General features: G+C 44.5%; 1 protein-coding gene across 5 annotated transcripts in view, besides 1 other annotated feature; it reads right to left on the minus strand.

The window, feature by feature from the left end:
• Window positions 1-23,110: part of a sequence alteration artifact (region identified as an assembly artifact by the Genome Reference Consortium. This region falsely duplicates sequence located at GRCh38 chr16:34827082..35072498) that runs on past the window's edge.
• CCNYL1B (cyclin Y like 1B) overlaps window positions 12,175-23,110 on the minus strand; it is a 29,979-nt gene continuing 19,043 nt past the window's right edge. For 2 of the 5 annotated variants that reach the window (XM_011546045.4, XM_047435042.1), the window contains exons 8-10: window positions 21,104-21,270; window positions 16,238-16,400; window positions 12,176-14,355 (exon numbers count right to left, since the gene is read on the minus strand). In XM_011546045.4, the coding sequence (XP_011544347.1) occupies window positions 14,242-14,355; window positions 16,238-16,400; window positions 21,104-21,270 (444 nt within the window). In that variant the 3' untranslated portion in view covers window positions 12,176-14,241. Of the gene's footprint in view, window positions 14,356-16,237; window positions 16,401-18,262; window positions 18,818-21,103; window positions 21,271-23,110 lie in introns of those variants that run through there. The other 3 variants (XM_047435043.1, XM_047435044.1, XM_047435045.1) reach the window with 3 other exon arrangements.

Here is a 23,110-nt window from a genome sequence, read left to right on the forward strand (position 1 = left end):
GAATTCTCCAGTTTTTGTAATTAAGAAAAAATCAGGTAAATGGAGAATGTTAACTGATTTAAGAGATATTAATTTAGTTATACAACCTATGAGGACATTACAGCCAGGATTGCCTTCTCCTGCTATGATTCTGAAAAATTGGCCATTAGAAGTCATAGATTTAAAAGACTGTTTCTTTACTATCCCCTTAGCTGAACAAGACTGTGAATGGTTTGCATTTACAATTCCTGCAGTAAACAACCTGCAGCCTGCTAAGCATTTTCACTGGAAAGTGTTGCCACAAGGCATGTTAAACATTCCAACAATTTGCCAGACTTATGTAGGGCAAGCAATTAAACCTACTCATAAAACATTTTCACAGTGTTACATTATTCATTATATGGATGATATATCTTGTGCTGCCCCCACTCGAGAAATATTACTCCAGTGTTATGATCACTTGCAAAATTCAATTTCTGACACTGGTTTAATTATAGCTCCTGACAAAATTCAGACTACTCCTCCTTACTCCTACTTGGGGACCTTAGTAAATGACACTACCATTGTGCCACAGAAAGTAACTATATGTAGGGATCGATTGAAAACATTAAGTAACTTTCAAAAATTACTAGGCGACATTAATTGGATATGACCTGCTCTAGACATTCCTACCTATGCCATGAGTAATCTATTTTCTGTTCTTAGAGGAGATCCTAGTATCACTAGCCCTTGGCAATTAACAAAAGAAGCTGAGGCAGAGCTGCAGTTGATCAAAAAGCAAGTCCATAAAGCCCAAATAAATAGAATAGATCCAGAGAAGACTCCAGATTTGCTAATTTCTCCAACTCAGCATTCACCTACTGGTGTTATTGTCCAAGAACAGGACTTAGTAGAATGGCTTTTTCTTCCACATACTAATTCATGGACTCTAACTCCTTATTTGGATCAAAACGCTACTATGATAGGAAATGAGAGAACTCAGATTGTTAAATTACATGGATATGATCCTAGAAAAATTATTGTCCTCCTCATGAAGGCAAACATACAGCAAGCTTTTATAAATGGTCTTACTTGGCAAACTCATTTAGCTAACTTTGTGGGTATTCTTGATAATTTTCCTGAAACAAAACTGTTTCAATTTTTGAAATTAACTAACTGGATCCTCTCTAGAATAATTAAATTTAAACCAATTGAAGGTGCTGAGAATGTCTTAACAGATGGGTCTAGTAATGGTAAAGCTTCTTATTCTGGCTCAAAAGGTAAAGTTTTTCAGATGCCCTATACTACAGCTCAAAAAGCAGAGCTTGTAGCTGTAATTGAGGTATTGACCACTTTTGATATGCCTATTAATGTGATTTTTTATTCTTCATACATGGTTCATTCCACACAATTATTTGAAAATGCTCAGTTATGATTTCATACAGATGAACAACTGATAACTTTATTTACCCAACTGCAAATAGCAGTTAGGAGTAAAATGTACCCTTTTTACAACACTCACATTAGGGCTCATACACCTCTTCCAGGACCTTTGACTGCAGGGAAACAAATGGCTGATTGCCTAGTTGCTATTGCAATATCTAATGCTAAACACTTTCACAATTTAACCCATGTTAATGCCTCTGGTCTCAAATGCAGATACAGCATTACCTGGAAAGAAGCTAAAGCTATTATCCATGATGCCCAAATTGCCAAATGGTGTATTCCTCATCTTTTACAGGAGGAGTTAATCCTCAAGGATTGGAATCTAGTTCTCTTTGGCAAATGGATGTCACACATGTTTCTTCATTTGGGAAACTGGCTTATGTACATGTATGTGTGTACACCTTTTTTCACTTTGTCTGGGCTACATGCCAACCAGGAGAGTCTTCCGCCTGTGTTAAACATCACCTTTTGCAGTGTTTTGCAGTGATGGGCATTCCAGCTTCTATTAAAACAGACAATTCCCCCAGGCTATACTAGCCAAGCTCTAGTACATTTTTCTCTATATGGATATTAAACACATTACTGGTATCCCATATAATTCTCAAGGACAAGTCATAGTAGAAAGAATGAATCTCTCCCTGTAAGAGCAGTTGCAAAAACAGAAAGGGGGAACAGGGATTATGGGACAGCCCATACACAATTGAATCTAGCATTATTAACTTTAAATTTTTTGAGTGTGCCTAAAGGCCAAATGTTAGCAGCTGAACAGCATCTATAGAAACCAGCTGCAAAGACAGAAGCAAAACAACTGGTTTGATGGAGAGATCTGATAACAAAAAGTTGGGAAATAGGTAAAATAATAACAGGGTAGAGGTTATGCTTGTGTTTTTCCAGGACTGAGTCAACAGCTGATTTGGATATCATCAAGAAACCTGAAACCTTATCATGAGTCAGATGCTGAGGAAGAGATTCCAGGAAGAACCCAAGGAACCCCTGGTTGCAGTCATGTCGAGACTGACACTGAGGAGGACCCCAACTGTCATGAGCAGCACCCATTGAACACAGCCACCCACCTGGGGACAGATCAAGAAGCTGTCACAGATGGTGGAAGAAAACCTGAGGAAAGAGGGACAACCAGTCACAATGAGTAATTTAACGGTAGCTATGATAGTGGTGATCACCATTGCCATGAGTATTCCTTCAACAAGGGCTGACACAGAGAACAATTATACTTATTGGGCATATTTATCAATCTTGGCTGGCAATAATGCCTGGATGTAATCACTCTATGACACAGTTATGCATGCTTTCTGATCTCAGTATTTGTCATAATAAATCTGGTCCTACAATTGAGGCATACTGGCCTCAAAAACCTATTTGTAAACAGAATTGAACCTGGGCAGAAAAAATGAATGTACTTGTTTAGGAAGATTGCATTGCAGAACAGGCAAAGGTGCTGGTGCAACGATTCCTATGGAATCATTATTGATTTGTCCCTAATGGGCTGTTTAGATTGAATTGCACCCCTCTGCATGCCATGGCCATACTATGTTCAGCTGGTCTGAATAAAATGGTCAGATGGTAGAAACGATAAGAAATATGGCAAGAGTTCCTATTATCTGGCACCATGGTGGTATAGTGGCCCCTCAACCTCAAATGATATGGCCTGTTATAGGACCTAAACATAAGGATTTGTGGAAACTATTAATGACTCTTAATAAGAACAAAATTTAGGAAAGAATAAAAAGCATCTAGAAGCACACTCTAAAAATTTGTCTTTGGATATTGTAAAATTAAAAGAACAAATATTTAAAGCATTCCAGGCACACCTGACCTTAATGCCAGGAACTGCAGTACTTGAAGGAGCTGCAGTTGGGTTAGCAGCTAGTAATCCATTAAAATGGACAAAAACACTTGGAAGCTCTATGATTTCAATGATGATTGTGCTTTTAATCTGTGTTGTTTGTCTTTGTGTAGTATGCAGATGCAGATCCTGACTCCTGTGAGAAGTAGCTCACTGTGACAAAGCTGCCTTTGTTTTTATCTCTTTGCAAAATAAAGAAGGGGGACATGTTGGGAACAGGCCCCTGGATCTGGCCATAAACTGCCCCAAAACTGGCCCTAAGCAAAATCTCTGCAGCACTGTGACATGCTCTTGATGGCCATGACACCCACGCTGAAGGTTGTGGGTTTACTGGAATGATGGCAAGGAACACCTGGCCCACCAAGGGCGGAAAACCCCTTAAAGGCGTTCTTAAACCACAAACAATAGCATGAGCTATCTGTGCCTTAAGGACATGCTCCTGCTGCAGATAACTAGCCAGACCCATCCCTTTACTTTGGCCCATCCTTTTATTTCCCATAAGAAATACTTTTAGTTAATATATAATCTATAGAAACAATGCTTATCACTGACTTGCTGTCAGTAAATATGTGGGTAAATCTCTGTTCAGGGCTCTCAGCTCTGAAGGCTGTGGGACCCCTGATTTCCCACTCCACACTCTGTATTTCTGTGGGCCTTTAATTCCTCTAGTGCCACTGGGTTAGGGTCTCCATGACCGAGCTAGTCTTGGCACCTGTGCAAGGCACAGGACTCTCCGTTTCCTGCCTATGACATGGGGTCAGAAGGAGCATGGGTAAGACTTGGTACTTTAGCCTCATCCTTCCCAGCAGACTCAGGCCTGGTCTCCAGCATCCCTTCCTCCCCCTTACCTGTGAGAGAAGGACTCTATCCTGGAGGCCAGGATCTTCACAGCAAAACCATGTTCTGAATAACAATGACTTCCTATCCTGGGATATTATCTCCCAAATCGACCTCATCCAGCCCACCTTTTCTGGGTGACTTGGCTGCACCAACATCCTTCTTTGAGTTCTCTGGGGAGTCCTTGTGGCTCTGGGGGTGACAAGGATGGAGCTGAATCAGATGGGCCTAGCTGGTGAGGGAGGGCTGTCTGCCTCACTTCACCTGGGGGGGCATGTGCCTTATAGAACAGTGTCTGCATACCTTCCTGAGCCTCCAACCCACAGTCCCACCTCATCCTCAGCACCCCTGCAGTCCACCGCCTCTTCCCTCCCACATCCTGAGCCCTCCCTTCCCATCTGCTGCTCCTCAGCCCACCATGGCATGGCTTCCACCTGAGCACACTGCCCAAAGCACTCTCCCCAGGGTCACCAATGCCACTGTTAGGGCCCAGCCCAAGGATCTTCTCCAGCCCTGATGTGTGTGACTTCTCAGCAGCACCCCCCACCACTGCACACTCCCTCCTCCTCTTCCCTGACCAACATGATCCCCCTGTCCCTCCCTCTCTGGCTCCATCCCCTTCCACCAGTCCTGAGCTGGGGATGTGCCTGGGCCCAGCCTCTTCTCTTTCTCACCTCATCCTCTCCATGGCTTCAAATATCCTCCTTCCACCATGAAGTTCCCATGGCAAATCCTAATCCTGGCCCTGATCAGGCTTTACAGATGGAGGGGACAGCTGCCTCCCAGGCATCACATGTGGCTGACCCTTAAGCGTCACTGAAGACTTGTCTTGTGGGAATGGAATTTAGCTTCCTCCACAAACTGGCCGCTGCTCTGTGTAGGTCCCCCTTCCCTGTTGAATCACTAATCCTAATCTCCCAACTGGCCCATGGTCCCCTACCTCTGTGGCCAAGCCCTGGGATGGGCATTTCTCCTGTTTCAAGACTGCCACTTGGAACCCCTCTAATAAGCCCACTGCTCTCTAAGTCAAGCTTCCTAAGCCAGCACTCTCAGGCACCAACCTAAAGCCAGCCTCAGTTTCTTCCTGCCTCCCACTCAGGTCTAGAAGGGCCAAAACACAGAAGGCTGAAGACCATGCCCCTGCCCTCCCACCTCTGTGCTTTTGTCCAGGCTGCCCCTGATATTCCATTCTTTCAGGCATGCACACTCATCTTTCTAGGCCTAGGTGAAATAAGCCCTCTTCTCAAATGCCAGAATGACCACTGATGGCAGAATTACACCCCATCCCCCAACTTACAGGCTGTGAGGAGAGTGGGGAGTAGGTGGCATAATTTTCCATTCCTACCTAGGCACCAGGGGAACAAAGGAGAGCCCCTCCCTGCCTTTGGGAGCTGAGGCCTCCTCTCAGAAACCCTCCAGCAAACACAGGCCTGCCTGGATGCCCATTGAGCAAATGGGGACCTGGGACCCCAGGGTGTGCCCATCAGCCAGGCAGGCCTGCTTGGCTTGGCTTGGCTGAGAGCTCAAAAGTCTCAGCCCTGAGCAGAGTCTGGGTCAGCTTCCAGATAGAACAGCGCACCCAGATCCACCCATCCCAGCCAGCCCCATCTTTTCTTCCCTACCCAGCTCTCAGCAGTGGGATTAGGGTGCATTTCCCAGAAATGTGTGGGCCCAAACATGACCCACTGGAAGCATGGAGCAGGAGCCTCAGACAGAGGTTTTGCCAGCACAGAAAGGCATACCAGGGACATGGAGAGAAGCTACTATCCCTCCCCTGTATCCCACGACATAGAAATAGGACCTCCGGGAGCTCAGATATGGTCCCCTCCTTCTCACCCCAAATAAGGGTGTATGAGGCTCAGAAAGGTCCAGAGTCTGACCTAAGGACACCGGTCAGAAGGAAACCAGATTCCCTTCCACAGCCACACCCCCACGGCTGCTGCACTGCCCAAAACCCTAGCCACTGAGAGTCTTCAATAACTGCATCTGCTGTCACCCCTCCATGAAACTGCCAAGAAGCACAAGGATGCACAAGGACTTCCTCTCCCTTCCGGCGACCCAACAGCTCCCAGGCAGGGTAACCCCAAGCTCTTGGTAAGTGAGCAGCCATGCCCCACAGTGAAAAACTGCCTGACACTAATGACTGAGCAGACAGGAGTAGGAGGGGCAGAGATCGATTGGTTTTCAAGAAGCAGCAAGAGGAAGGGCAGATAGGAGGAGGAACTTACCCTACAAGGTCCCAGAGAAAGGCTGTGTTGACTGGTATGCCCCTGGAATGAGGGGAGAAGGAGGAAGGGCCCCCACCCACTGTGAAGCAGCAGTTTTGAGCTCTGAGATCCCAGAAGTGGGGAGGCAGAGACCTGGACCTAGATGAGAAACCTGTGCTCCTTGGCGTGTCTAGAATGGGAGGCATGGATAAGGAGAGGGAAGACAAGGCCAGGTGGCCACAGGCCCCATCCTCCCTCCCCAGCTCTGGGAGCCCACCACCTGCAGAGGGCATCTATCCCCTGATCAGATTTCAAAACAACGTGGCTGGTTCCCCAGAGGCCTCCTTTTACCCATGAGGGTCTGTCCTGCCCCTCCTCCTTCCTCTGGAGAACCCTGAAGGTCTCATCATCTCTGGGTGAAGCCCTGGGGACCTCCCCAGTGAGAGAGTAGCCAACTTGTTCATGAGGACTCCACTGCTCCCTGGTGCCACCCTCTCCTGGGCCCTGGGGTCTCAGGACTGCCATGTTAGCAAAGTAGCCAGTTCCCTGGTGCCATCTGTGTTCCTCACTCCAGTCTCTGCCGCTACCCTTGCTCTAATGCAGCTGGTGGGTCCCAGGCTGGAGCTCGAGCTGGCTTTGGGCTTCAATGGGCCACACTTACCAGGGCTGCCCCAGGAAGGGTGCACTCCCCTTGCCTTGCATCTGGCTGAAGGTTGGCCAGAAGGACGGCTATGGGCCAGGAGGCCCCAGTGGCTCCAGGATACCAGAAAACACAGCTATCTGCACTCGGGCCTATCTCCCTATACCCCCAGAAAGGGGCCACTCCTGGCAAGGCCACTGGGTGACAGGAGAACCCGGCATTTGGGGTACTTGCACCCCTGAAGATTGAGGGCCTAGGAGACTGGCTGACAGCATAAGCGCCCTGAATGGGGGTCCTCTGCTCAGCTTCCACCCCAGAGGGTTGGGCAGAACTGCTTTGGCAACAGCTGATGTAGAGCTGGGCCCAGGCCCTGAGGGGCTGCCCCAGTCTGCCAATCACAGGCACTGAGCATCTCCTCTGCCTTCTGGGCCTAGAGGCCAGCTGGGGCCTCTGGTTCCTGCTGCCCCCTGCAGGTGCCCTGACAGTCACCTCCTTCCTGAGAGTCACTGGTGATGGTGAGAGGGAGGTGGATGGAACCCCCCATCACTGTCTCCCAGAGGACAACTGCACTGGTACCCCAGGCCTCTGAGCTCCAACTGAGAAGCTGGTGGCTCCACCTTCCCATCCTCACAGCCCCTTCCCTGCCAGGAGGGAACCAAGTCTCTCCCAGGGGGAACAGAGCTGGCAGCAAGAGGCCAAGGGCAGCTCAGCTGGGGAGAGGGAGCATGCCCACCTCGCCAGGGCACCCCCCAGGGCCTCTGCTGTGCTCCCAGGGCCCCGTCAGGACAGCTCTGGCATCCATCCTAACCAGCTTAAGTGGGAGCCAGGATCTCCCTACAGCCCTGCCCCTCCAGGCCCAGGGACCCAGGCAGAGGCTGTGCCTCTCCATAGCTCCCACCATGGGTTCTGGGCCTCACACAATGACCAGATGGGAAGAAGGGCCAGGCCTAGGCAGAACCCGTCTCTTACCCACTCCCCAGATTGAAAAAGAAATAGGTCATTTCACATGTCATGATTTTGTATAAATATTTGTAAGAAATTTACTAAAAACCTATATGAATTAATAAATTAATTAGATACAATCAGATACAAGATCAACATACAAACTTAAATTGTACTACTGTATAAAATTAGTCAATCTAAAAATTAAATGAAGACAAAAATACCATTGGTAAAAGCCTCTTAAAGGAAGAAATAGTCAGAAATAACTTTAAGAAAATAAGAGCAATGACATCATAGTGAAAAATTATTTTAAAATGCTAAAAGTAATCAAAGAACTGAATATGTTGAGAGACATCAATATTCAAGAATAACAATGCTTAATATTAATATCAAAATACTAAAAGCTGGATCTATAGATTTAATGCAAATTCTCTAGGTTTTTTCAACAAAAATTTTAAACCTCTTCCTAAAATGCATGTGGATACGCAAAGGAAATAAAATATATGCATTTTTTGAAAAGAATAACAAAATTTAGTTACTTACACTGCCAATATCTTTTTTTTTTTTTTTTCAGAGACAGGGTCTTGCTCTGTCACCTTGGCTGGAGTTCAGTGGCAGGATTACAGCTCACTGCAACCTGGAACTTCTGGGCTCAAGTGATCTTCCCACCTCAGCCTCATGAGTAGCTGGGACTACAAGTGCATGCCACTCATCCCGCTAACATTTGTTTTTTCTTGTAGAGATGGGATCTTGGTGTGTTGCCCACGATAGTCTCAGACCCCTGGGCTCAAGCAATTCTCCTGCCTTGGCCTCCCAAAATGCTTGGATTACAAGTGTTAGCCACCTTGCTCACCCATCCAGTATCAATTTTTACTGCAATGTTATAGTCTGGTACTAGCATAAGTATAGATTCATGTAGGCCAACAGAATAGAATAGAAGGGCCACTAATAAACACATTAATTTATGGTAAATTGATTGTGTCAAAGATGCCAAGAAATTGTAAAAGGAAAATAAATGTCTTTTCAAAAAATTTTGCTGGGAAAATTAAATATACACTTTGCAAAAGGAAAAAGTGGACTCCTAACTCAAACCACAGACCCCCAAAAATACTCAGAAAGGGTAATATATCAAAATGTAAGAGGTTAAAGACAAAATTCTTTGGAGAAATCTTATAGTTAATATTTGTATTCTTGGGTTACATAAATATGTCTAAGATATTACACCAAAGGCACAATTTTATTAAAAAAATAAATTATACTTTATTGAATTGGAAACTTTTGTTTTTAGAACATCAAAAAGAATATGAAAACATATGCTGCTTAATGGGAAAAATATTTTAAATTGTATACATTATTTGGGTATATTAGGGTTTATAAAGAACACACACACATATATATTTTATATATATATCATATATATTTTATATAAAATCTCATTTATATATGGAATCTTAAAAACCAAACTCAGAGAAGCTAGTATCTAGAATATATAAAAAACTCTTATCGGTCAATAATAAAACAACAATTGACCAATTAAAAATGGACAAAAGATTTGAATAGATGTTTTCCATAGAAGATACACAATTTGCCAATTTGCTCAATTTCATCAGTTGTTAAGAAAATACAAATCAAACCACAATTAGTACTAGTTGACACCCACTAGAATGGCTATACCAAAGATACAATGACAAATGTTAGAAAAGAAGTGGAGAATATGGAACTCACATATGCTGCAAATAGGAATGTAAAATATTCTGCCACCTTGAAAATAAAACAATACGAAATAAAAATGTGGCTATCCCTCAAAATGTTGCACATAAAATCACTATAGGACACAGAAATTCTAACCCAAAGTTAGTATGCAAAGGAAATTCCTATAATCATACAAAGACGCTCATATGAATGCACATAACATGTGGTCATGTCCATGCAATAGAACTCCACTTGCCATCCAAGAGGAATAATGTAATGATGCAATGATGCAAACTACAACAGAAATGAAACCCAAAAACATTAGGCTAAGCGAAAGGAACCAGACCCAAAAGACCACATAATTCATGATCCTGGCTATTAGAAACTCTGATAATAGGCTCATCTATAGAGACATAAAATTGATTGTTGTCTAGATCTGACATGGCAAAGGTGAATGCAAGTAGGATGCATTTTCCTCTTAAGGGATACAAATATTCTAAACTTAGATGGTAATTAAGCTCGCATGGCTCTATAAATATACCAAATAGCCTGGAGTTGTACTTAAAATATGTGATTATATTATATAAAATATACCCCAGTAAAGCATTTTAAAAAATTAACAGGTCAACATACACTAAGGTTGTTTAAGATTTTGAGAAACCCAGGGCACAGATTGTAAAAATGAAATCTATTTCTTGTCCATTTCAAAGCATAATAAAGAAAATGGAGGCAGCAAGCTAACACGCAAAGGTTTGGTTAGTGATGCAGGTGTATTAATGGGCAGGAACCATGTGATTCGTTTAACCAGGTCAGAAAAGCAAAGGAAATGATCGTAATTTATTGAAGACCACTCTGACTCAGAGTGACTCAGATTGTTAGGAATGTGAAAGCTGTACTCGTAGGTTTGGGCATATTTCTTATCAAACACAGCTCAAAAGAGCCATCTCACAGAAAGGTTATCAACGACTCTCCTATCCGCAGTTTCCTGGAGTTTTACAGTTGTCTATCGCCAGCCCTAAAACTGCATTGTAGTCACTCATTCTAAACCCAATGTAGCACTCAAATCTAATACGAAACTCCACATTTCATGACTACCACGTTCAATAAATTGCCTTTTATTTTTTTCATTTTTTGGCCAGCCCTCCGCATTCCCTCTGTTTGTAGCCCTACCTGTCGCCGCTCGCTCTGGAGCAAAATTGTCCACCTCGGGAGCTGGGGCTGCGGGTCCGCGTACTGCGCCGGGCGCCCGTGTTGGCTGGTTCAGGAGCTGTGGGGCGGGCTTGGAGCTCACAGGGCGCAGATGTCCCCTGACAGCCCCGGGAGCCCGCGGCCGCCCCCCGCACCAGGCCGCGCTCCCCTCAGCAGGCGCCCCAAGGGTTCTGATCTGGGCTGGAAATTGAGCCCAGCAGAGAAGGAGGAGGGGGAGCGCCGACCCCACCCTCCGCTCCGCACGGTCGGCCAAGTAAACCCAATTCCAATTCCGTAATAAAAGGATGCAGAGGTGCGCAACTAGCTCCGTTCCTTCCTGCTGCCTGCCCTTAAGGGGTGGCCCCACTGTCTCCAAGGCTCAAGGAGCTTCCCCGCCCAGGAGCCCCGCGACTCCCCCGAACTAAGTTTGCCAAGCGCCAAGTGTGGCAGGCGGGAGCCCAGGCCTCCTGGCCGCGTCCACCGGGCGATGCAGAGAGCGATGCCAGTTTCACTTCCTTCCTCCGGGACCCAGAAAGGTCTGAAGACGGGAAAATACCCCGCGCCGGGTAGGGGCGACCCTAGGAGCCCCACGGATCTATCTCCCAGACGCCCTACAGAAGGACCCTGCAAGACCTAACCTGCTGAGGCCCCTTCTTTCCACCCTTTACCTCTCGGGGGAGCCATCATTCCCCTGAGTGTCCCCCTAGGTTATTCACGCGCACCCCGCATTGACCTCTGGCCTTGGAGCACCCTCGAGTGTTCCCCGCCCGGAACATGGGACTCCACAATTATTCCCCTCCAAAGACTCCTCCCAAACCTGTCTCCTGGCATCAGCGACACTGACACACTGCGGCAACTGCCCAGGCTGCCCCCTTCCCCGCCCCAACCACCTCGGGGTCTCCACAATGAGTTCCCCAGGTCGAGGGCTGTACTGAGACCCTGCACAGCGACCCCGACTCACAGGAGGACCCTCCAGCACTCCCTCAGACATCCCGCCCCCCCTACAGGGGAGACTAGGCCCCACCCTCCACCCAGACGATGGCTTCCCCCAGCCACCCCTAAAAATATGCTTTCCCGGAGACCCCGCACAGGGCGCCTCTGTCACACAGGGGCGACCCCATAAATCCCTCCCCAGACATCTTCCCCCCTCCCCAGATGGAGATCTCACAAGCGGAGAGCTCCCCTGGAGAGGATCCTCAGAAACCATCCTCAAAGCCACCACCACAGTCAGAAAGACCCAAGGGAGAATCGTGGGCACGAAACACATCTCCACACATGCACTCCTCCCGGCACTCACGGCCACCTCACCCCATGGAGACCTCAAAATGCTCTCCGTATGTTGCAGGGAAAAGAAAGGGAGAGCCCAGCAGAACTTCCCGCAGGAGAATCCATTTTCCTTTTATTCATTATGCAGTGGAGCCTAAGTGCAGGGCACGAAGGATTTTACACAAAATTTTAAGTTGTTAGGTATAGGTTTTCATGGAAATGTAAACATTTAACAAAGATACAGATAATAGATAATAAACCCATCCTAAGTACATTATCACTAGGTTTCAGCAATTCTTATTTTGCCATTTATTTTCAACGATCAATCCAAATATCCTAGTAGTATTTTAAATCAAATATAAGATACAATATCATTAATTTTGGAAAAACTTAAGTAACTATATCTAACAAGTGAAGATAAAAAAGAAAATATTATCACAACTAATATAATTTTTAATATATAAAATAGATAAATTTGTGTATTCACCAGAGTAGACTTTACAACCACTGAAGGTTTTGCATGAAATGTTTTAACATGTTTAGTCTAATATTTTATCTTCAGACAAAATATCAATACATGAAAACATTCAATTACATATAAAGGGCCATAGATTATGGTTGGAGGAGGAAATCGCAAATTGACGGTGGGATATTCCAAACCACTGCACTGTGAAAGTAAACGCAAGAAAGAAAATAGGGATTCCTATAGTTCCCGATAAAAGGAAAGGAAAGGTAACTCGCAGAGAGCCACTCCCTCACTTTGCCATATTCAAATGTCTAGAACAAGGCACAGGTCTGGCCATACCCAAGAAAAGATGAGGATTCAGGTGTAACAAAAGACAGCAGAGATCATGGGGCATCTTAGGATTCTGCCCCCTACATCCACCCTTGCACAAAAACTTGATCTAACATCTCACATTGGTGGGGATCTGGTGTTCTTGTAAGAGAAAAGAAAGTCTCAGAAAGTGGTTCCCTTGTAGACTCTGAGGCAGTTGCTCCTCAGCACCTTCTATTTTGGAAGCCAGAAAATTATTTCTTGATTGACAAGGGGGGCAGTCCTGTGCACCATAGGAGTCCCATTGTTGACTGCATGTCAGTAGCTGCCACCAGTTATTACAACCAGAACTGCGTGAGTAAACTTCCTCAGGATGCAGAAGCCGCTCCCGTGAGAACCTCAGCTCCTCTCCATATGCAAACAGACAGATGCAGGCAGCACCAGCAATCTCTTGAACCACTGCAGTGCACTGGAAAATGTGAGGTGCGGTGTGTCCCAGTGTTAGAATTATAGACAGGCTTTTGTTTTGTTGATAAGCGCTGAGACCATACAATGCATCGGGGCAAGATTAGCTGGGAAAATGATCTTCTGATAAGGTTTTGAACCCAGATGCTCCTCCTTTGTTGTTTTCCCGGAACTGGGTAAATTCAGTTTTCACTTCTGTAGCTCCCCTAACAATCCCAAGGCCAGGTCTTTTACTGCTTCCCTAGGTGGAGTGACCATTATCGGCCTGGGAGAAGATGAGCTGATTTCATCTCTTCCTTTATAACCATGACGTGGGGGCCTCATTTCACATGCACAGATTCCCTCCGAAGACTAGATGAGCAGACCTGAGCCACCCTGGTGCTTGGAGTAACGACAGTCTTGCCCCAATGCCACTCTCTCTTCCCAACATTGTTGAGTTTTGGGCCATCATGCATTCAGTGCCTCAGTGGACAGAGAACCAAACCCAGGTGCTCTCACAAATCTGGAGCCAATTCTAAAGTTTTTTTAGCTCCAGCTCAGCTCAGACCACTGTCACCTGCTAGGGACTGTGGGTGACTGTGGACACCACTGGCACCTGCTTGAGACTGGGTGACTGGACTCTGAGCTGGGATGTGCTGTGTCCATGTGACACTCCTTCTCTCCAAGAGTTGTTCAAGAAGGTGGTGCCCTAGGAATGCCATCTGGACCCAGTGAAAGAGGAAGGGCAGGAAGCACCTGGCACCCACTGTTCATCCCACCATCACCCAGTTCCACAATGTGGCTAACTTGAAGATACTTCCTCTTGATGAAAATCCTAAACAAACAAACAAACAAAAAAATAACAAATAAAACAAAGAAGAAAAAAAGAAAATCCTAATATTGTTGTTTCTTTCAGCAGAAGTGATATTTTCTAGTCTTTACAGTTGAGAAGTTCAGGGTCTTATAAGGCCAATTTTTCTCTTTAAGATAAGATGGCATTAGAGCACCCAATACCAATGAAATTCATGCTGATAACCCTTTTCAAAGCAGCGGCATCTTGATGCAAGTCTTTGTATTCACACAGCCGTGACATAGCCTAGGAAAGTAAGTCAAAGAGAAAACAGGTACAATTTTAAAAAGGGCTCCAACTTTTTTTTTTTCGAGATGGAGTCTTGCTCTGTTGCCCAGGCTTGAGTGCAGTGGCACGATCTCGGCTCACTGCAAGCTCCGCCTCCCAGGTTCACACCATTCTCCTGCCTCAGCCTCCTGAGTAGCTGTGACTATAGGCGCCCGCCACCATGCCCAGCTAATTTTTTGTATTTTTAATAGAGATGAGGTTTCACCATGTTAGCCAGGATAGTCTCGATCTCCTGACCTCGTGATCCTCCCTCCTCGGCCTCCCAAAGTTCTGGGATTATAGGCCTGAGCCACCGTGCCCGGCCGGGCTCCAGCATTTTTTAAAAGGCATCACTGATGAGAAGCCACACATGCAGATTCCTTTAGATGGTCCCTTTGCAACTGCTTTGGCTGAGGTTTACACTGCCAGGTTCTGAGGATGCTACTCCCTGCCCATTCACTAAGGTGATCTCCTTTAAGGGCTATGAATAGATTGCCAGGGCTATGAATAGATTGCCAGAGCCAAGAGGAACTTACTTTATTAAGTTATTTTAAAATTGGGCTCATCGCTTGATGATAGTCACATAAAAAATAAAATAGGACTCCCAAAGATTTCAAGAGTATTGTGACAAGCTCCTAACAACAATATCTGTTACCTGTGCACTTGTTCCTTCAATGTAATAAACATGCACTTGTGCCAAAAAATCGATTTACTCAGTGATTCAAATTCTACCAAATTCTTGTTAGTTACTATATACTCAAAGCAAATTTTAATGAGACAGGTTTGTTCTGGGCTATTTGGAACATCCAAGAAGTCTAATGACTGAAGCACCATAAGGTGCTACTTTACATGCACATTGTGGTAGAAAAATGTATTATTCTAAAGTATCACCAAGATACCAGAGAAAGTGCCAATTTTATATATGTCTATTTCAGTTGTAATTTTCCTGTATACTCACCAAGGGTCAGAAGCCATAAATCTTACATTACCCCATGAAAGTTACCATTTTCATTAAAAACCCATGTCCTTCCTACAGCCAGTACTTGAAACACTGGCACCTTATACAGTCTAAGTACAAGTCTCTCAGCCACTACTGCTTTGTCTAATAAACTCATGGGACTGCACCGTGATATATACGGTAGACAATGACATAAATTTGCAAACTGTGTAAGTAAAAGACAGTCAAGAGTGGTAACTGCATTGTGTATATAGGTATAATTAAGAATACAATTGCATTTATTCAAGCATTGTTGTATGAACGGATAGAGGTTAAAAACAAAGCCCATTAAAATCAGATTAAATTTAATTAAAAATATTCTGAATTATGGTCATAGCAGAGAGAATATCAATACATTTTTAAGAATATGGATCATTGGCCTGGCGCAGTGGCTCACGCCTGTAATCCCAGCACTTTGGGAGGCCAAGGTGGGCAGATCACCTGAGGTCGGGAGTTCGAGACCAGCCTGACCAACATGGTGAAACCCAGTCTCTACTAAAAATACAAAATTAGCTGGTCGTGGTGGCATATGCCTGTAATCCCAGCTACTCGGGAGGCTGAGGCAGAAGAATTGCTTGAACCCAGGAGGCAGAGGTTGTGGTGGGCCGAGATTGCACTCCAGCCTGGGTAAAAAGAGTGAAACTCCGTCTCAAAAAACAAAAAAAACTAATTAATTAATTAATTAAGAATATGGATCCTTCTATAGACCATAAAAGATAAGAAATATGATGCCAAAGAAATAAGCTCTTTGCTCTGTTAATTTTAAGGCTTTCATTTTCCAAATCACTACTTAATATGATTTTGTAACAGATTTTGGCTTTTGTGGCCTATGGAAAACTCCACTAAGTGACTTCACATCCTTACCTCCAGTTTCTGGGCTTTATCTTTGTGAAGAAAGCTAAATAGAAAATACAGGTCATGGTCATTTGCCAAGGCACACAGGTCAAAGTAATATTTTGCATAAACACTGGCAGACACATGAATATTAAACTCAAGTAGCTCCAAGAAACACTTCTCCATCTTGCTCCTGGGGGAGGAGAAACACAATAAAACCAACATAGGACAATTCTAGTCAAGTGGGTTATCTTTAAAAATATCATTCTGAGCTACTAGGATGCTCTAAATTCTATTTTGAAACACATAAAGGCTGCATGATCAGGTCCCTACACTAATGTCCAAATAAGACACAGCTGCTTGGGGCTCTTCTGCATCCCAGCACCCCAAGTTTGGGATAAGGGAAAGGTGGAAGCCTCTTCTGCACTCCTGCTGCTGAATCGGGGCTCATTCTTCAGAGTTCCCTTAGGGCAGCTGCACAACTCAAACTCCATGCTCACTCACAAGACACGCAATAGCAATCACATGACAGGAATGATGGGTGTCATTTATTAGCTCTTTAGTACCTCCAGGCATTTTTACCAGGACGATAACAGGAAGGGGCTTACTGAAGTAGAGAAGCACCAACAAGAGGACTGGGTGCATCACCACAGCAACAAATGGACCCATGGAGAGCCACCCTATTATCTCAGAGGAGGAAAAACTCTAAGGCTACAAGAAGGATTCATCCCAAATAATTACGTAAGCAAGCTACATTCCATGGCAAAAAGAATCCCCTTCCCTCTGCTCCAGCCCACAAGGCTATGTCAAAGGGGCATAACACAAGTTTCTGCTCACCTTAGTATTATGAAGAGTTGAAACTGCCACTGTGACAGGACAAGGATATTCTTTAAAGTTTGAAAGGCAGAAAAATCAAGGAGAGACATTTTGGCTAGACTAAACCCATTTTACGATGTGATTTCTAGAAGGGCCCTGGCCTTACACATGCGGTGTTGCTCCTGAGTTGGGAATGCAACCGTGAAGCGCTCAGCATCTGTCACCCCTGGCCAGAACGGGATGTGGGGGAGTTGAATGCAGTGGGAGACTAAAGGGCTGGGAGCCGTCCTCTGCCACACGGTCATCCAGCCGCCCTCACCAAGGCTAAATTAATAGGTACACAGTTAGAGTAAATCTGGCTGCTTTCAGAGTAACCCCTGTAATGAGTTAATTGCTTAAAAATGATCACTATCTAAACAATATATTTGGTTTCTTGGTTTGAAAGTTTTAATATTTTACCCACTGGCTAAGTCAACAAATGCTTGATGTTCTCCTGTAAGGGGGGCAGTTAGACCACGAGCCAAAATGAGGTGATCTCATTTGCTGAACTTAAAACCCAGCTGAACCTACTTCCAAAATTAATTTTCTGTTCAAATGTCCATAAGTCCATAGAAATGTAAATATATATATTTGAATTATATATATATAATTCGAATTATATATATATAATTCAAATAAATATGAATATTATTTCATATATTTATATATTTGAATTATATATAATATATATAAAATTATATATATAATTCAATTATATATAATTAAATTATATATATAATTTAATTATATATAATTCAAATATATATATAATTCAATTATATATATAATTCAAATTATATATATAATTCAAATAATATATGAATAGATAGCTAATCAGGACTAGACTTATGACAGGAATTAAAGGCACTTCACTATCCCTTTTTATTTTCTCCATTAGTACGTTGTAACCGTGTAGAAATACAGTACTTCACAGAATTAACATATTAATAGAAATTTAATCCTGAAGAAAATCATTCTGTGTATAGAATATGCATCTTCTGGGCTTTGTGGTTTCTTTTAAATGGCTAGATGATTGAATAGCATACCCTTTACAGACACAGCAAATTTTCCAAATAGCAGCTACTTAGTTTAACTTACTCTTTAGAAAGGAAATATTCTAGGGAGACACATAGATATTGGAAAGTTTTTTTATTTTATTATTATTATACTTTAAGTTTTAGGGTACATGTGCACAACGTGCAGGTTTGTTACATATGTATACATGTGCCATGTGGGGATATTGGAAAGTTTTAAGAAAAATCTGATCAACACCAATTTTTTAACTGTTACATTTACACTCAAAACGGGACCATTGCAAAGAGTCAACAGCAGGGGGCTGAAACAAATGTCTATAAACACTTTGATGTAATGCTTTTCAAATTCCCAAGATCATAAACAGAAGCAGCCTTCTTGGAGCATAGCTCCTGGTGTTTCACCATTCACACACCAACAGCACTGTTTGGAACCGGTCTTCTTGGAGCTAGGCTCTGCCCCACTGCTCCTGGAGCTCACTTCTGTGGAAACCTGCACATATCCCTGCATGCTCTCTGATCTTGTGACTAGAACTCAGAGCCCCAGCCAGCTGAGCTGCAGGTTTTGAGAACAATTCAGCTGCCATGATGGTAGAACTAAGTGTTCATGATTACAAATTTGAAGCCGCCTTTGCAAAAATTGTAACTAAGAAAATCGTGACAGTGAAAGAGAGCTGATCTGACTTCATCTTGCTTCTAACCTCCAAGGTGTCCTTGTTCATTCCTAGGCAGAGGCCAAACTAACTTTAGGATGAACTTAGTTTATAGTTTAATTTTGAAACAAAGACAGTAGCAGCCCTTTCCCAAAACAAACCCGCTTCCTGCCTGGGGACTAGCCTGCCTTTCCAGGACTAACAAATTAGCCACAAGATTAGAAATTATGGTTTAGGAGTCATGCGGCTGAAGGCTGCAAGAGTCTGAACCTCCCCATATTTCTCCTGGGAATAATATCACTATTGTAAAACCTAAGATCAGTGCTTGAGATATTTTGCAGGCCCTGTGCTGGGCAAAGGTGGCACCACTCCAAGCAATAAACTTGGCTCATCTGGTTTTGTGGCCCCCACCCAGGAGCCATCTCAGTGCAGGAGGACAGCTTCAACTCTCTGTGATTCCATCTCTGATCTGATCAATCAGCACTCACCACTTTCTGACCCCCTACCCACCAAATTATTCTTTAAAAAACCATCCCAGAGTTTTCAGAGAGACTAATTTGAGTAATAGTAAAACTCTGGTCTCCCGTACAGCTGCCTCTGCATGAACTAAACTCTTTCTCTATTGCAATTTGCCTGTCTTAATAAATCAGCGCTGACTAGGCAGCAGGCAAGGAGAAGTTGGGCAGTCACAAATCTTGCTTCCTTTGAGGAACCAGTTTACAAATGGATGACTATGATCAAGGCCACCTTAGTGTTTGCAACATCCAAAGTATTTCCGTTAGTTTCAAATTCATTTGCGGTCACACTCTTTGCTAAAATGGCTACCAGAAATATCACCATGATCACTTGGTTTACACTATTGGCAAAGTGGTGGCAAAAGTAGATTTTTGTTTTTCTTTTTGAGACAAGGTCTGGCTCCATCACCCAGGGCTGGTGTGCAGTGATGTGATCACAGTTCACTACAGCCTCAACTTCCCAGGCTCAGGCAATTCTCCCACCTCAAACTCCCAGGTAGCTAGGACTACTACAGCTGCCTGCCACCATGCCCGGCTAATTTTTTTAAAAAAACTGTACAGACAGGGTTCACTGTGTTACCCAGCAGGTCTTCAACTCCTGAGCTCAAGTGATCCACTCACCTCAGCCTCCTGAAGTGCTGGGATAACAGGCATGAGCCACTGAGCTCAGCCGCAAAGGGCTCATTTTTAAATGTAGATATACACTGAGGTATACCTACAACAGACACTATATCTTCAATTGCAGACATACACTGAGGTGATTCAGAATGACAGTATTATCTGGAGTCATGGACAAAGGTCACAAAACTAACTTGTCCCATGCCTGGCATGATCTTGATCTGCTGCTGCTGCTCAGTGTGAACAAGGGCTGCTCCCTTGTCTTGCACAGATGCAGCCTGCACAGCTGTCCTCACTGTCGAGCAGGCACCCAGGAAGGCTCTGCTGGAAATGCCTCCCTGCTCTCCCTGCCTGCCAGCTGCAGGTCCCTTCCCTTCACAGCAGTCATGAGGTCAGATTGGAAGGGAGCCCTGGTGAAGCTGCGTTTCAGTGTCATGTTGGTGCATCTGGGAGGAACCCCATGACTCCACAAGACTCCTTGCACTCTCATGGGCAACTCCAGACCCCAGCATGCTGCTGCGGATGTCTGAGTACCCATGGAGCTTTGTGAGTGTGGTGGGCATGGGGAGATGCCCCAGAAATGCTTCTCACACTGCAGGAGGCGAACGTTGGAGCTTCTAACTCATCAGGTTAATTTCCAAACACATGCAACACTCCCAATGGGGAGGGGCCAGGGCACAGGAATCTGTGGCTATTTAACTTCATATCTCAAGGTTCCTATAAAAACAGATCTTCAGATAAAATGGGGAGGAAAGGACCAGCAAAGGCAACTATACAAAGGGTGACTTAGGTTGAAGCTATAACTTCTCCATAGTCCAGAGTCCTTAAGACCTTAACAGTGGCCAATTATTTCAAAGGCCAAATGTTTGTCCCTTAAAAAGGGACTGAAACTGGCAGATAGCTTCTAAAAAGCTATAAAGATATTTATTGTACTGTGTCATTCTAATAGTACACTTGTAAGAGGTTTGCCAAAAAACAATCAGAAAAATGCTTTTCAGTTTATCCAGGAGGTTATTACAACAATAACACATCAAGACCTACCCATGAATGCCAAAAAATATAAACTGTTATACTAAAGCTGGATAGAGAGAAGTCTGTGGTCTTATGCCTATTTCCTTTATCTGCACGATGAAACCTATAAAGATATTGTTTACAGGGTTAACTTGGAGAGCAAATGAGGTATGGAAATTGGTTACACAGTTCACCAAAACCTTACAAACTCACATGTTCTCAACTGCAGTGTCCTTGGAATTCTGGCTGTCATCCACACTCCACAGACCATGATTTCTCCAAACCTTGGAGGCAAGAAGCATGGTTCCAAGGACAATCTTCTTCCAATTAGTAGGACAAAGATCGATGTTAGCACTAGTTAGAAGTCGTTTGATGTATACCTGCAAAATAGAGCACTGCTCTTTGATTTCAGTTCAGCTTAAGTGTGGTGATACGAACATTTAAAAATGAAAGATTTCTTCCGGTTTTGACCAGAAAGTAAGTGCCTTTTATTCTTATGTTCTGCAGAGACTTTGCTCAGACAAAGCAAGAGGCCAAATCACAGTCATAGTCAGATACCTCTGCAGCCTACTCTGCCTATAGACATTTCCAGCCCAATTTTGGTCACAGGGAGGACTGGACATCTCTGCGGGCATGAAGAGAGGCACCATCAGCACCTTCACACTCATTAAAGGCAGCACAAATTCAGGCCCAGTGCAGATTAAGGTTGTTCAGGAAACACTCCAGTGCTGTCTGTGTGCAGCATCATGCCTGGCTGGCAGGTAGATAGGAATTTTACAGGTATACCATGCTTGAATATGTAACACTCAAGTGATACTGAGAACACTGCTGTCTTCTCCTTTTCACAATAACTAACCCGCTCTTGGGACACCAGCTGAGGAACTGCAGATCAAGGTCACTTCCCAATGCCTGCCATGCAGACAGCATGACAAGCACAGGTCTCTGTGGCTGAGAAATAATCTCCGTATTCAGTGCTTGATAAGGAACACATGAGTATGAAAGGAGGGTCCTGCTCACAGCCCCTATGTTCCACGTCTCCACAATCTCTTCAAGAAAACTCATTTCTTGTTCTATAGTATCTGCATTCAGTCAATTCAGTTGGGTTTTAGGCAGAGACAGCTGTCGGCCTCTGTATCCCTGGGGTTCCTCTCAACATGCCAAGCAGTTTGTGAGACAATCTCAGAAAGTATTTTCTATCTATCCAATCTCTATCCTATAAAGAACTTGGTGAGGGACCAGCTGAGTGGAGGTTACAGAGGTGAGCGGTGAGGCGTTGCTATCCCAGAGGGTGCTCTGCAGAAGAGTATGTCTCTATGCTACTTGACATCTTTGTATCAAGATCAAAGGAAAACAGTTCATTTTAAGAGAGTTCATTTATTGTCTGAAGGTTATCAGATTGGCGGCTCAGATATGGCAATGTTCTCCAAACTCAACTGTGTTTTCAAAATCAAATGGCTCTTGAACATGATATGTTCTTATGAGAGATTCTGCTCCCTTTCCCCCTAACTCTGCACTATTGAGTATCCCAGGAATGACCCTCCCTCCCAGGGTTCAACTCCACAGCACTCATTAGAGAGCACTTAAACAGCATTGGCAAGCCCTCAACTTCCTGTCACCTTTACTGGTAAGCTGGACCTGCTGACACTCACCGAAACCACTTGCCCTCCTGGGTCAGTGAGAAAGCTCCTTTTTTAACACCAACTCTTCTATCAGCACAGTGGATCCCATCCCACTTTTGCAGAACACTGTTCCCCAAATCACCTCTTCTTGAAGCCTTTCTCCCTCTCTGCCAGAGATTTCCCCCAATATGAACGTGTTTCCTGTTCCCATCCTGCTCCCCACAGCTTCCCAGAGGCATCCTCTCAATTTGCTCACAGCATCAGGCCCTGTTGCCAGCTCCTCACCTCCCATCTCTCCTTAACCCACCTCACCCACCCCCATCACTCGCCTCAGACTCCTCTTGCAAAGGTCCTCAGAGTCTTGACACTTACAAACCAGAGCCCTTCACCCCAAGGCTCCACTCTCCAAGCTGGCCCTAATCTTGTCCAGGGAATTGCCATTGGCCTAGCTCCTGGGGACTAACACTTAAATGTGAGTTACCCTGTTTCAATCTGTGTGCACTCCCTCTATGCCTACCTTCACTGGTAGGCTGCCTGCTTCAGATTCTGAGCCGCCATGTGTCACGGCTCACCTATATCACCCTATTTGCTTCTTGGTAAT

This window comes from Homo sapiens, chromosome 16, assembly GCF_000001405.40.
Source record: "Homo sapiens chromosome 16, GRCh38.p14 Primary Assembly".
In the NCBI taxonomy this organism is placed as follows: Eukaryota; Metazoa; Chordata; class Mammalia; order Primates; family Hominidae; genus Homo; species Homo sapiens.